The following is a 15,878-nucleotide window of genomic DNA, read 5'->3' on the forward strand; positions in this document are numbered from 1 at the left end:
TTGAAGAATAATGCATATATAAAAACCTGACACATAGCAGGAGATCAAATACATGGTGATTATCTTCATGATGTTCAGACCATTTCTTTTCTACAATCCCCACTGCCACTTATCCATTTTGGCAAAATATGCAAAGCAAACATTTCTAATTCACTCTTGACTTCACTCAAGCAAAATCATCTCCCTTTTTTCATAGCATGCCCATCAAGTACCCATATAGTACTTATCAAAGCTAGTACCTCCCCTTTCAAGTCCATTCCTGTTCTTGCTCATTTGTATTCTCTTTCGTTCTTCACTGCTATGGTGTGGATGTTTGTGTCCCCTCCAAAATTTATGTTGAAACTGCAACTTAGTGTGATAGCATCAAGAGTTGAGGCTTTGGGGAGGTGATTAAGTCATGAGGGCAGAGCTCTCATGAATGAGACTAACACTTTATGAAAGTGTTAGGGTCTTTTCTGAAATACCTTTATGTAAAAAATCGTGGGGAGGGCAGGTGGAGGAACTAGCTAGACGCTTTTTTGCCCTTCCACTCTTCTGCCATGTGAGGACACAGCGTTTGTCCCTTCCAGAGGATGCAGCAACAAGGTATCATCCTGGTAGCCAAGACCAGGCCCTCACCACTCAACCTACCAGCACCTTGACCTTAGACTTCCAGGCTCCAGAACTGTAAGAAATACATTTATTTTTTATTTTTGTGGAGATGGGCATCTTGCTTTCTTTGTTGCCCAGACTGGTCTCAAACTCCTGGGCTCAACTGATCTTCCCACCTCGGCCTCCCAAAGTGCTGGGATTACAGGCATGAGCCACTGCACCTGGCCAAATTTTTATTATTTATAAATCACCCAGTCTGTGGTTATTTGGTTACTGCAGCAGAAACAGACTAAGACGTTCTCTATGATCAGTTTTATGCTCTTTTGGATGCAATTTCTTCCAACACTGAAAAACTTGTAGGGCATTCCATTACTTAAACAGTCAAATAGCTGCTTACATGGCGACTTAAAGTCTCTCCCTTACTCCAGCCTGGGTGAGAATCAACTACCTGAAACTTAGACATGATCTAAGCCTGGTTTTTAAGGAAAGGTGGAGAGGGAGGCTAAATGCCTCCAGATGATTCTGATATGCCTCACAAAGAGATGACTGCTTATTTCCAGAATAGATTTAAAAAAAAATAAAAATGGTGGGGTATGTACCCCACAATTCTTTTTTTTTTCTGGAAACAGGGTCTCACTCTGTCACCCAGGTGGGAGTACACAATCCACTTTAGTACACATTTTGACACACTGAGAAACCTGGCCCAGTAGCCTTCACCCATTACAATGCAAAGACACTCAGCCAATGCACCCTCAACTAATGTCTCTTAAAATGACAAATAAACTGTTTATCCCTCTGTGGCCTCTCTACCACTGTTTGGCTGTTTGGGTACAATTTAAATCCATAACAGGTCATCAAAGGCAAGTAGTGATAGTGCTGTAATGCTGGATCAACCACAAAGAAACAAAAGAAGGCTATCACACTGGATGCTATAAAATGATCATAAAGCTAACAAGTACTTACTGTATGTCAGCACTTACGATACGTCAACCACTTTCTACACATGAACTCTTTTACCCTCACGACAACCCTATGGATCAACACTGTCCCCATTTTGCAGAAGAAAAACTATGGAGAGATTAAGAAACTTATCCAGTACCACACAGCTAGTGACGGAAGGTCTAAAGGGAGGAGTGTGAATTCTAACCCAAACAGTCTGGTCCCAGGTTAACTTTTCAATTATAAATTGCCTATTTTACATAGCTGGAGTCACCTTCAAATAAAAGAAGAGAAAGAAGAACACCAACTAGAAACTGACGAGGGGAAGCCCCAACATTACAAAATGCTTTCAAGACATCTCTGTAGCTTGAGAGCATTTGTCAGCAGGTTACAAAAAACAACAGATGGAATAGCCAGAGGTAGGTCATGATTTCAGAGGATGTGCAGGTACAGAAAGCAACTGCGAAGTGAGATTTAGAACACAGCTCCACAGAGACTAAGTATACTTGCTCTCCTTTGCCAGCGTTCCCATTTCTAGGACCGCATCCCCTGCCCTAAACAGGGTATATCTAATTTTGGAGATAGGAAAAAACAAAAAACAGATCAATTTTCCTTATAGAAAGCAATCAAGAGCTCAGTCTATAAAAATAAGTCTTTTGGCCAGGCATGGTGGCTACTGCCTTTATCCCAGCACTTTGGGAGGCCGAAGCGGGCAGATCACGAGGTCAAGAGATCGAGACCATCCTGGCCAACATGGTGAAACACCATCTCTACTAAAAATACAAAATTAGCTGGGCACGGTCGTGCGTACCTGTAGTCCCAGCTGCTCAGGAGACTGAGCCAGGAGAATCGCTTGAACCCAGGAGGCAGAGGCGGTTGCAGTGAGCCGAGATCGTGCCACAGCACTCCAGCCTGAGCAACAGAGCAAGACTCCATCTCAAAAAAAAAAAAAAAAAGTCTTTCAACCAAGATACTTAAGGTTTCTCAAGAGCACAGCTACTTGGGGGAAAAAATAGTGACTTCTGGATGGCTTCCCATTCTGCCACACTCAACCTGACCACTCTACTTGCTCCTTTAGTTAAAGATAACAGACATGGGCAGAAAGAAACAAACACATACATAATACAAACATAGCTGACATGTACTTTGACGTTTTTGAGGACCCTATTCTTTTTTTCTTTTTTTGAGACATAGTCTCCTTCTGTCATCCAGGCTGGAATGCAGTGGCATGATCTCGGCTCACTGCAACCTCAGCCTCCCAGTTCAAGCAATTCTCCTGCCTCAGCCACCCAAGTAGCTGGGATTCCAGGCACACGCCACCACGCCCAGCTAATTTTTGTATTTTTAATAGAGATGGGGTTTCACCGTGTTGGCCAGGCTGGTCTCAAATGCCTGACCTGAAGTGATCCACCCACCTCAGCTTCCCAAAGTGCTGGGATTACAGGAGTGAGACACTGCACCTAGCCCCTGTTCTTTAAAAAGAAAGAAAAATTTTAAATCCTAGATGTATTATTTAAAAATTTTCCAACAATAAAAAACTTACAAAGTAGTAATCCCTATAATTCTCTCCACCCCCCTTAAAAAATACACTATTAATAGTTTGGCATATGCCATACCAGATTTTTCTCTATGCGTTGGCATAAGGTTTTCTTAAACTAAACTATGTTCAATATGAATTTAAAAATAAAAAAAAAAAGACAACTGTCCTGAGTGTGCATGAATGTGTTTCCATTGTGTCCACATCCACCTGTGCTTTGGGGCCCTGTGAGCATAAATCCTCCTCCTTCATTGTATATGAAGAGCTGCACGTTGAAGCCCCTGAGGCCTAGGTTAGTAGCTACACTTAGCCCCCATGCAGTATGTACTGTGAAGCGCACTGCTTTCTCCCAGCTGCTCTGAGCATACTTTTCTCAAAGTAGCATGACCAAGCAAGTTGGCTGATCCTGGCTAAAATAAAGTATCCCAGGGAAGAAAGATGTGGTCTTAAGAGAATAGATCTGGGCTGGGCACAGTGGCTCACACCTGTAATCCCAACACTTTGGGAGGCCGAGGCGGGCGGATCACAAAGTCAGTAGTTCAAGACCAGCCTGGCCAGCATGGTGAAACCCTGTCTCAACTAAAAATATAAAAATTAGCCGGGCACAGTGGTGCGAGCCTGTAGTCCCAGCTACTTGGGAGGCTGAGGCAGGAGAATTGCCTGAACCTGGAAGGCGGAGGTTGCAGTGAGCTGAGATCACACCACTGCACTCCAGCCTGGGCAACGCGGCGAGACTCTGTTTCAAAAAAAGAAAAAAAAGGAAGAAGACAGAGAATAGATCAGAACCTTAAGGGGTAAGAGGTATGCAGGGAATCCTGCCCTCCCCCCATCCTTAGAACATCCCCCTGCCTGGATCCAGGGCAGGGCTGGAAATTGGGCCTGGAGCTTTCCCTTTCCTAATCCCCCTACCACATCCTCCTCTTAATTTCCTTAACACCTCACCTCCCCTTCCCTTCTCATTTTAAAACCCCTCCATTTGGGACCTCTAACAGAAGAGCACAAACTGGCTCTTAGAAGAATATGTGATGAATAAACAAGAAGCTCAATGTCAGCCGGGCGAGGTGGCTCACGCCTGTAATCCCAACACTTTGGGAGGCTGAAGCAGGTGAATCACCTGAGGTCAGGAGGTTCGAGACTAGTCTGGCCAACATAGTGAAACCCCATCTCTACCACAAATACAAAAATTAGATGGGTGTACTGGCACACGCCTGTAGTCCCAGCTACTCAGGAGGCTGAGGCAGGGAAATCGCTTGAACCCGGGAGGCGGAGGTTACAGTGAGCTGAGATCGCACCACTGCACTCCAGCCTGGACAACAGAATGAGACTCCATCTCAAAAAAAAAAAGGAAAAAATAATAAAAATATATGATGAATAAACCTAAGAGCTCAACATCGGCCAGGCGCAGTGGCTCACACCTGTAATCTCAGCACTTTGGGAGGCTGAGGCGGGTGCATCACCTGAAGTCAGGAGGTTCAAGACTAGCCTGGTCAACATAGTGAGACCCTGTCTCTACTAAAAATACAAAAATTAGCCAGGTGTATTGGTACTACCCTGTAGTCCCAGCTACTCAGGAGGTTGAGGCAGGAGAATCACTTGAACCCGGGAGATGGAGGTTGCAGTGAGCCAAGATCATGCCACTGCACTCCAGCCTGGATGACAGAACGAGACTCCGTCTCAAAAAAAAAAAAAAAAAAAAAAAAGCTGAACTTCACCAGTTTAACTCCCATTCCCTATAACATAATACCCAGTGATGGTTTTAAATAAGACAGGTTATGTGGTAAGTGTATGTCTGAAGTCTTAAAGCAGAATATAATCCCTTATACATATCAATACCTAAAGAATTCAAACTTCACATTTATACAGAAAAAATGGCAACATGCCCATAAAAATACTAGTATTTTGGTAGAATTACAAAATTTAGTATAATCACTAAGGATAAATCCTCGATTTAAAGAGGTTGGGAAAGCTGGAAAAGTTCTTGCTTGATGACACAGCTGAAAGCCCAAATAATGAAGATCATCAGAAGAAAAAATAAACAAAATAAAGTACAAACACAGAGACATATTATGCCAAGCACTGGGCAGTGCCTGGGCATGCCTCAGGTCTCCATGAAGTATGCAGTAGTCTCCTCTTATGGACAAGAAATGAAGGCTCAATGGCACATCTAAATCCACACAAATAGTAAGTAGAGAGCTGTGATACAAACCCTAACCTCTGATCCCAATGCCTGAGGCTTCCACTAGACCCCTGAGGCCTCCCCCAACCAATCTAAAGTATGAAGTTCATGATTCCCCCAGTGGTCACACATGGGCCATTTGCCCCCAGTCGAGCCACTCTTCTTTTAGGAGACTTGGCACTCCTTGCCCTGTCCCTTTACATGAGTGGGAGCGACCATTTTCGTGCACAGCCATGTCTCCCCGGCTACAATGCATAGGCTGAGGGTTTATGGGGATTGTTTGGGGATTTGTGATTGTTTTACTCCAAGCTGGGAAGAGAGAAACTCAGTCTTCTGATAGTGGAGCTGCAAGATGTGAGTTGGGGTCATAAACAGCATGAACACAACACTGAAGAGAGGCCTGCATCCAAAAATGCAGCCACGGGGCAGACAGAAACACAGTTCTCGCCACCAAGTCCCCAGTGCTGTCTCCAGAGTGATCTCAACCACCACGCTGGCCAGTGACGTGCCCATCCATCTGACTTGCCTCCTATGATGAGAAAGATTACTGACCATCATTTTCTTTACAAAGGTGTTTTTTGAAAAACATTCTTTAGTTTAGGCTAGAATCAAATGGAGAATCAAATAAGATCACACACTTACCCCTCACTACCCAACAAAAACATACCACTATAGGCCGGGTGCGGTGGCTCACGCCTGTTATCCCAGCACTTTGGGAGGCCAAGGCGGGCAGACCACCTAAGGTCAAGAGTTTGAGATCCGCCTGGCCAACATGGTAAAACCCTGTCTCTACTAAAAATACAAAAATTAGCCGGGTGTGGTGGTGCACGCCTGTAGTCTCAGCTACTCAGGAGGCTGAGGCAGGAGAATTGCTTGAACCTAGGAGGCAGAGGTTGCGGTGAGCCAAGGCCGTACCATTGCACTCCAGCCTGGGTGACAAGAATGAAACTCTGTCTCAAAAAAAAAAAAAAAAAACACACTATTATTTAACAGTATTATTTGCCATCTTCCAGTTTAGCCCAGTTAAGATGAGCTGATATTTATTAGGTTATAGTAGGTGTGAAAGCACTTGGAAAAAAGAGTGGAATATTCAAAAGAAATAGATTTTGATGTTTTTTTCTCACAACTCTATTGGGAGATAAATCAATATTATCCTCATTTTGTGGAGAAAAAAAAAAGATAACTGGATTAAACAACAACAAATAGACCCAAATAGATCCATTTCAATGTGAACATCGTTGAGGTATCAGGTCTTCCTCCTCCTTCATATAGGCATCTCCTGCTCTACTGATGTTTAATACACCTTAGACAGACAATTTTCATCAATCAGTTAAAGGGGAAATGAGATCAACAAAAATAAAACTATTTTATTTACCTTATTTCCTCTTAAAATGTGCTCTTATCTGAAAGATTACAAGCAGAAGAAATAGTCTCCATTGCTGCTCCTAGAAGCAAACAGGTATCTTTGGCCCATTCCAAAGGAAAAATATCAAGAGAAATGGTAACATCCAGGATTAATATGGAGGCACTCCTGCAACACTGACAGGTGGGCAATCTGCCGAACTTTGAACCAGCAATTCAGCCTTTCAGAACTTCCAGCACAGAGGTACACAAGAGGGCAGAAACACGTATGTACAGGGATGATCAAGTGCAGTGATGCTATGGCCAAAAGATGAGAAACCACTTGGATGACAGCAACCACGTACAGAAAAAGAAATGAAAGCTACAAATGTATAGAAGAGAATATTACATTAAAAATATTTTAAATCATCTTATAAGTGATATAACTTACTCAGTGCTAAGATGATCATGACACATGTTAAACAGCTGACAAAATAGCATGATCGGTCTTATCTAAATATTCTTTCCATCTTTTTTCTACAGATATAAACAATAAGATAATTATCTCAGGGCAAAAGACTGAGTGATTTTAATTTTTTCATTACAACTTTTAAAAAATATGTTCCTGTTTATACAATAAGTACATATTGCTTTTACTGTAATAAAAACAAATTATTATCATTTGCAAAAATCATCTAAGCAGCCTCCAGAAATGTGTTTGAAAAAGGTTGTTCCCAAGCTATATGTATAAATCACAAAGAACATAAGCTTAGGATTCTCAACCAAAGTAAGAAGTCAAAGACAAAAATATCTCCATGGCTATTTTTCTAAATGTTCTTCAAAAATTATTTGATTTTTTTTTTTTTTTTTTGAGATGGAGTCTCGCTCTGTTGCCCAGGCTGGAGAGCAATGGTGCAATCTCGGCTCACTGCAACCTCCGCCTCCCGGGTTCAAGCGATTCTCCTGCCTCAGCCTGCCAAGCAGCTGGGACTACAGGCGTGCACCACCACGCCCAGCTAATTTTTGTATTTTTAGTGGAGACGGGGTTTCACCATGTTGGCCAGGGTGGTCTCCATCTCCTGACCTCGTGATCCGCCCGCTTCGGCCTCCCAAACTGCTGGGATTACAGGTGTGAGCCACTGCGTCCGGCCAAATTATTTGATTTTTAAAAATTACTTCTCTAAATCAAAAAGAAGTCAAATGCACCATGCAGAAAAAGAACTTGGACATCTTTTTTTACAAGGCTATCCATAGCCAATAAATTGTATCATGAAGCCTGAAATCTCAAACAATTATCAAATTCATCCCAGTCCTTTATATATGCACACTAATACCAAAAACCACTAGGTTGTCCTCCTCCCTAATGACATTACTCAAATTTGCTTCTCCCTCACTTCCTCTTAGTCCTAGTCCACAATGCCTTCATCAGACAATCTTCAGCACCCACTGCTGCGGTGTGTGGGTGAGACCCAGACACCTCTCCCTGAGGTCTTTCAATGGCTTCGATTGCCCTGCGAATCAGTACTAAATTCCTATACTACAGTGCTGCAGGGAAGTCTCTCTTGATTGCCCTCAGGGCTCCTCCACCTAGGAAACGTGCTCAGCCTCGCTGGTGCACAACCAGGCCACTTGTATCTCAGAATTTTATCTCTATTAAGGACGCCTGAACATCTTCCTTCATGGAGCCGGCTGGGCTATCTCTTGTCCCTCATCCAAAAGAATCCTAAAGGCCATCTCATCCACAAAGCTTTTAAGGATGTTTAAACACCAAGAGATTCCTACCAGTCATCAAAGAACTTCTTCCCCATTTATAACCACACCTATTTGTTCCATAATGGACAGCCATCTCTAACAGCTCCTTCTTTGCCCCTCCCCAAAATCCCATGTAAAATGCAGCTGTAGATCAAATAATTCTTCCAGGTTGACCTCCCATTCTCTACTTCGAGCCATTTTCATCTGATTTCTCTGGATTTCTTACCATGGTCCTTGTCACAGACTCTCCCTCTACCTAACCTGTTCAATAGATAACTTGGCAGGGCCACCAGCTTGGTTTTCTTTTTACTCCAATGCTGTCTGACAATTCCCCCTTAACCCACAGTTCAAGCTGGTGAGTTCTGTCTATAGCTGAATAACCTGGATCTCACTTATACTCAGATTGTGTCATCCATTTGCATGTTTTGCTTTTCTTCCCCTCCCACAAAGCGTCCTTTAATATCCTGCTAACTCCAGGAAGATATTTTGCTATTACATGTCTTTTTGTATTCCCTTCATAATATTTATGAAAACTTTCAGGTAGCCATCGCTCCATTTTTACTTCAGGCTCAAACCAAACTTCATCGCATTTTTATATGTTCACAAAATTATTAGGTTGCCTTAAACAATGTATGAATATAAATGTACCTAAGTAACATTAATTTTAAACACTTTTTTCTCCTTCAAAGCAGTTCCTTTTTGTGATAACTATCAAAATATTCTATTTTGATAGAACTTCATTCTTTCTATACATTTCAAAAATATATGAAGCCAACATAGGATATACATTTCAAAAACATATGAAGCCAACTAATAAATGAAGAAGGAATGGTGAACTAGAAAATCACCCTTTGGCAACCAGCATAATAATTAATAACTGTTTTTTTTTGTTTGTTTTTTTGTTTGAGACAGAGTCTCGCCGTCACCCAGGCTGTAGTGCAGTGGCATGATCTCGGCTCACTGCAGGCTCTGCCCCCCAGGGTTCACGCCATTCTCCTGCCTCAGCCTCCCGTGTAGCTGGGACTATAGGTGCCCGCCACCTCACCTGGCTAATTTTTTGTATTTTTAGTAGAGACGGGGTTTCACCGTGCTAGCCAGGATGGTCTCCTGACCTCGTGATCCGCCCACCTCGGCCTCCCAAAGTGCTGGGATTACAGGCGTGAGCCACCACGCCCGGCCTAATAACTGTTTTAAGTAAAAATCATCAATGGATTCTGAAGCTATAGGTGAAAGTTTAATGAGTAATAGGATATTTATACAGTCTCAAACTATCTCCCCACAAGATATCTATTAATTAGAAAGAGGGGAAAAAAGTAACTTTTTGAAGAAACCTGGCAAACACCTCTTTAACCACGTAGGAGGAAGAGATATCGTGTGCCTCCCGATGTGAGGCACTGAGAAGGATATGTCACATCTACAGTATTCCTGCCAAAATCTAACCAGGAAGAAGCATCAAACAACGTCAAATTGACGAACTACACACAGTAAGGTGACCTAATTCTTCAAAATTATTAAGCCAAGAAAAATAAGGAAAGACTGACAATGAACTGTTCCAGTGTAAAGGAAACTATGGCCGGGCACGGTGGCTCACACCTGTAATCCCAGCACTTAGGGAGGCCCAGGCGGGTGGATCACCTGAGGTCAGGAGTTCGAGACCAGCCTGACCAACATGGTAAAACTCCGCCTCTACTAAAAATACAAAAGTAGCCGGGCATGCTGGTGCCTGCCTATAATCCCAGCTACTTGGGAGGCTGAGGCAGAAGAATCGCTTGATCCGGGGAGGCGGAAGTTGCAGGGAGCTGAGATCGTGCCACTGCACTCCAGCCTGGGCAACAAGAGAAAAGAGAAAAACTCCGTCTCAAAAAAAAAAAAAAAAAAAGGAAACTACACAGATATGAGACCTAAATGTAGTGTGTGTTCCAGAACTGGATCATGAAACAGGATTAAAAAAATTTTTTTTTCGGCCAGGCGCAGTGGCTCACGCCTGTAATCCCACCACTTTGGGAGGCCGAGGTGGGTGGATCACCTGAGGTTGGGAGTTCAAGACCAGCATGACCAACATGGAGAAACCCCATCTTTACTAAAAATACAAAATTAGCCAGGGTGGTGGTGCATGCCTGTGATCCCAGCTACTTGGGAGGCTGAGCCAGGAGAATCACTGAACCCGGGAGGCGGAGGTTGCGGTGAGCCGAGATCGCGCCACTGCACTCCAGCCTCAGTAACAAGAGCAAAACTCCGTCTCAAAAAAAAGGCCTGGCGCGGTGGCTCACGCCTGTAATCCCAACACTTTGGGAGGCCGAGGCGGGTGGAGATCGTGAGGTCAGGAGATCGAGACCATTCTGGCTAACACGGTGAAACCCCGTCTCTACTAAAAATACAAAAAATTAGCCGGGCGTGGTGGCGGGCGCCTGTAGTCCCAGCTACTCAGGAGGCTGAGGCAGGAGAATGGCGTGAACCCGGGAGGCGGAGCTTTCAGTGAGCCGAGATCGCACCACTGCACTCCAGCCTGGGCGACAGAGGGAGACTCCGTCTCAAAAAAAAAAAAATTTTCTTGTTGCTATAAAGGACATTAGCATGACAACAGGTGAAATTTGAGTATGTCTCGTAAATCAGGTATTAATAGTCTATCAATTTTTTTTTTTAAGAGACGGAGTCTTGCTCTGTTGCCCAGGCTGGAGTGCAGTGGCATGATCTCAGGTCACTGCAACCTCCGCCTCCCGGGTTCACACCATTCTCCTGCCTCAGCCTCCCGAGTAGCTGGGACTACAGGCACCCGATACCACGCCCGGCTAATTTCTGTATTTTTAGTAGAGACGGGGTTTCACCTTGTTAGCCAGAATGGTCTCCATCTCCTGACCTCGTGATCTGCCCGCCTTGGCCTCCCAAAGTGCTGGGATTACAGGTGTGAGCCACTGCGCCCGGCCAGTAGTCCATCAATCTTAATCCTGATTTAGATAGCTGTCCTAACATTATATAAATGAATGACCTTGTTTCTAAGAACCACTGTATACACAGGTATTGCAGTGAAGCACTGTGTCTACTACTCTCAAATGATTACAATAAGCATAATAATAGAGAAAACAAGACATATGTGATAAAGAGTTAACACTGGGGTCCAGGTGAAACATACATGAAAATTTTTTTAACTGTTTTCTGAGGTTTTCACATGTCTGAATATTTTCCAAAATAAAAAGTTTAAAAAGTATATATGGTCATGATTCTAACAGGACCAAAGAACTATTTTAAATATATTCATCTTAAATATTTTTCATTAAAGTCTAACTCAAAATTCCCTCCCTTTAAGAAATCAACTGTGGGGTACGTCCTTACACCCTTTTCTTTTATGCTCCAATAAATGCTACTATTACCTCTGCTACAAAATTATAAAGAAAATACTGCATATTGCTTCAGCAGTGGGTGCTACAGTCAGACTATTCCGACTAACATCCTGCCTCTGACACTTTCTAGTCATGTAACCTCGGGCAAGTTTCTTCAGTGTCCCCACTTAAAGAATAGGAATAATCACAGGGCTTATCATACAGCATCTATGTTATAATTACACCAGGCAATGCATGCAAAACACTTAACAGTGTCTAGCACATAATGGCGCTTAATAAGTGTTAGCTACTAGTAAACATTAGCTGTTAATCATTAGCCTCATTGTTAGGTCCACGTTCTCACTCCAGCTGTTTTACTTTCTGCCTTGACATTCAATTTATTACTTCTTCTGTTGCATGTATCCTTATTTAAATTTTAGTTTTCTGAAACAAGGGAAAGTATAAGTGTTAAAAATTTTACAATCAAGTGAAATCTTCCTAAAACAGGGGGCCTCAGTCAATGGATTGTTTTATACCAGTCAGTTTTTAACTCACCCTTCACAGACTTCCCAGCCAGCTGCTGCTCTACTCAGGGACTTTATTATCAACACTGAACAACTGATGGATTCATATCTTATTACAAGAGACCCAAGGCCTCTGTTCCAGAGCACAGGCTAACTGACTAGGCCACAAGAAAACATGTAACCTCAGTCCCACATAAAAGTTAACTTTCCTCAGATTTTATGAGTATTTGGTCCCATAATATACATTTTCGTCAACTTCCTTTTACTGACCACATGCTACATATTAAAAGCACTACATGGGCTTATATACATGGGCTTACTGAATCCTCTATGTAGTAAATATCATCAGACCCCTTTTACAGATGAGGAAATACATTCTAGAGAGAAAGCTACCTGCTCAAATATATGAGTGGCAGAGCCAGAAGAGGAATCCAGACAATTCACACTCAAATCTAAAATACTTTCAGTACACTTTGTTGCCCTTGCATATAGGTAAACACATTTAGGAAGAAATGCCACTAATTACATACATCAAGGACACCATTTTTACCAACAATCCATATAAATTTTCTTGACATAACCTTTCCTAAGGTTTTTTGCTTTTGCTTAGTGCTGCTAACTGTAGCTTTTCTACTTATGACAGAGGCACCTGTCTTTTTAGATTAAACCATGGAAATTCACCTCCTACAGCCAATAGGACAAACACTGCAAGGAAAACCTGGAAAAAAATGGACAGTCTCTGAAAAGATGTGTCACTTGGTGGCAGTAGCGAGGAGACTGCCAGAAAAGGAAACAGAAGTCACTTAATCTGAATCCAATAATCTTTTCTGGCTCTCCTCTCAAGGACACAAGCGGGAAAATAAAAACCTCGATGAAAGCCAAGGTTTTGGAGATAGGCAAAGGAAATGAGAGGAACCTCCCTTATCTGTCAACACAGTCTCCTCCTGCCCATAAACACACTTGATCTAGCGGTAACATGTGCTCTGTAAAGCAGCTTAGGAGAGACTACATCTTTTACAGTCTACCAAGGAAGTGCTAACCAGAAAGGGAGAAACAGGAAAGGAAGAGAGACTTTCTCAGAACCCTCTGCAGCTTACACCTTTTGGTTCTTCATAACCCTCTTTAATCCCACTTCTCTGTCAAGGCCTCTCCAACTAAGCATACCCTAATGTTTCTTCTTTCTCCGCATGACAGAATTTATACAAATTCCTATGATGCAATTTAGCACTGACTTATTTCCTATCCTACACTGTGCACCGCCCTCTCATGTGCCCTCCCCGTTCCTCCAATCAGACCACAGGGCAGAAGAAAAGGAAGCTCTGGGTTAATAGGGAACCCACAAATTTCAAATATAAGGCAGCACGGAATGGGCCTTGAGACAAATGTACACGGAGATGAAGCCCACACAGACTGGACAGACCTAGACAGCTTAGACACTGGGCCGGGACCGTACCCAGTTTTTCCCTACTGTGTAAGTACAGCAACTGGCACATCATACGTGTTTAATTAACTCTGGTTGTTGCATAAGGACTTGAGTTCAAGTCTCAGAAATCTTAATTACTAGTTTTATCACCTTGAACAAGTTAGCTAATTTTTTGAGCATCAGTCTTCTCATTTGTAAAATGGGAAAAATAATGTCTACCTCATATGGTAATTACAATTTAAAAAATGAACACATATTTAGCACAATTTCTGGCTCACAGTAAATGCACCACAGCCATAGACTATCATTATTATTGTACAGTATTAAATACAGGTCCACAATTGCTTATCCAAAACTCTAGAGGCCAGGTATATTCTGGAATAAAGAATTTTTCAGATTTTTAGGAAGATAAAATAGTGCACGGAGAGAGAGATAGTGTGTATGTGTGTGTGTATGTGTAATATAGCCCCTTGAATAGAATCCGGGGCAGCAACTCACAATCAAGCACATTAATATTTTTGTAGTGAAACATAGCCTAGCCAGGTACATACAGACTATAAATAGTCTCATGTTAGTTCACTTCAGGTCAAATGGCAAATTAGTAATTAAAAACACTAGGCTTTCAGAGTGCTTTGAATTTTGAAACTGCGGAGAAAGGCCTGTGGGACTGTATTCACAAAAAGCACCAAGCCCCTGCTAAGAAACGTTGTTTCCAATGATCCCAGTAAAGGTACAGGTACTTGCACTGGTGTGGTGTGGATGTGAGGCTGCATGTTACTGCACTGCTGCGCAGAATCAAAGCTGTCAAGATGACCTGAGAAAGCTGCGTAGCATAAGTCCCCCCCCAATTCCCTCCAGTTGCATAGCCCAGGCGGTCTCTCCAAGACAGGTCATTCTTAACATTTCATCCCTTCTCACCTGATGAGGGAAGAAGGAAGAACAGAAGCAGCTGGAAGTGAGTGCAAGAACCTATCCCCACCACTTTTCCCTTTCTGCAAGTTTTAAGGCAGACAGGAAGAGGAGACCAGATCAATGAGGACAGCCATATTCAAAATTTGGGGTTATTTTTATTATTTAATGTCTCCTTCCAGGATTCCCATGGTCACTATGACAACAGGGAACCTTCACAAATCCTTCCATGTTGAACAGCACCGCCATGGTGTAGCATAGTGCTGTTCTGAATGTATGCTTATTTAAATAACCAATTACTCAACCCACAGATGGCTTCTACTACCAAAGAAAGTTCAAGGCCAGCTCACTGTAGATGATTAGCAGTAAGCTAACAGAATTCAAACTGATCCCAATATGAGTCTGAGTGAGAGAGGCAAGTTTTTCTGAAATATCACATAAGGTAGTCAAGTTTTACTGGAACACAGCCAAGCCTGTTCATTTACCTATTACCTGTCACTGCTTTTGCAATACAACGATTCATATTAGTTGAATATTTCAAAGAGCATATGGTCTCACAAAGCCCAAAATAGGTACTATCTGGGTTTTAAGGAAAAGTTTACTAAACCCTGTTCTTATGAAAGCAGCACTATCCAGAAAATCAGAGACCTATATTTAAATCCAGTTCCATAATCACTAGTTAAAATTGCCTCATTATTTCTAAGCCTCAGTTACTTCCTGTATAAAAATTAGGATACCACTATCTATTTACCCTGCAGGGTTGTTATAAAGACTACATGAGATAAGACAGAGAACATACCTGAAACTAAGTAAGGAATAAATGGTAGCCATTAAATTGCCCTTGATACCACATATACATCTGTCTGTAAAGAAACACTTAAATGCAAAGTTACTCAAGCTCCAGCCAACGTTTTTATTTTTATTTATTTATTTATTTATTTTTTGAGACGGAGTCTCACTCTATTGCCCAGGCTAGAGTGCAGTGGTGCAACCTCAGCTCACTGCAAACTCTGCCTCCCAGGTTCAAGCAATTCTCCTGCCTCAGCCTCCAAGTAGCTGGGACTATACGTGCGTGCCACCACGCCCGGCTGACTTTTGTATTTTTAGTAGATACGGGGTTTCACCATGTTGGCCAGGCTGGTCGTGAACTCCTGGCCTCATGATCCGCCCACCTCGGCCTCCCAAAGTGCTGGGATTACAGGCGTGATTCACTATACCTGGCCGTATTTTTTTTTAATAAGCCATTGAGCTGACATTCATCTACCTTCCCTGTTAAGAAAAGGAATAACAACACGCAAGTACTATTGTTTGGGCAAGCCAAAATTACTTCTCCATTCTCTTTTCAGCCCTTAAAGAAAAAAAAAAAACA

At 42.5% G+C, this 15,878-nt stretch overlaps 1 protein-coding gene across 36 annotated transcripts in view, besides 1 other annotated feature; it reads right to left on the reverse strand.

Moving 5' to 3' along the window:
• Nucleotides 1-15,878, reverse strand: part of CLASP1 (cytoplasmic linker associated protein 1) — a 311,687-nt gene that overhangs the window by 245,655 nt on the left and 50,154 nt on the right. The window lies entirely within an intron of this gene.
• Nucleotides 13,556-13,625: an enhancer, noted in NCBI's record as "active region_16467". NCBI's record gives its function as "activates an Ori minimal core promoter by ATAC-STARR-seq in GM12878 lymphoblastoid cells {active_cell/tissue: GM12878}" and the evidence as "EXISTENCE:reporter gene assay evidence [ECO:0000049][PMID:35858748]".

This window comes from Homo sapiens, chromosome 2, assembly GCF_000001405.40.
Source record: "Homo sapiens chromosome 2, GRCh38.p14 Primary Assembly".
In the NCBI taxonomy this organism is placed as follows: Eukaryota; Metazoa; Chordata; class Mammalia; order Primates; family Hominidae; genus Homo; species Homo sapiens.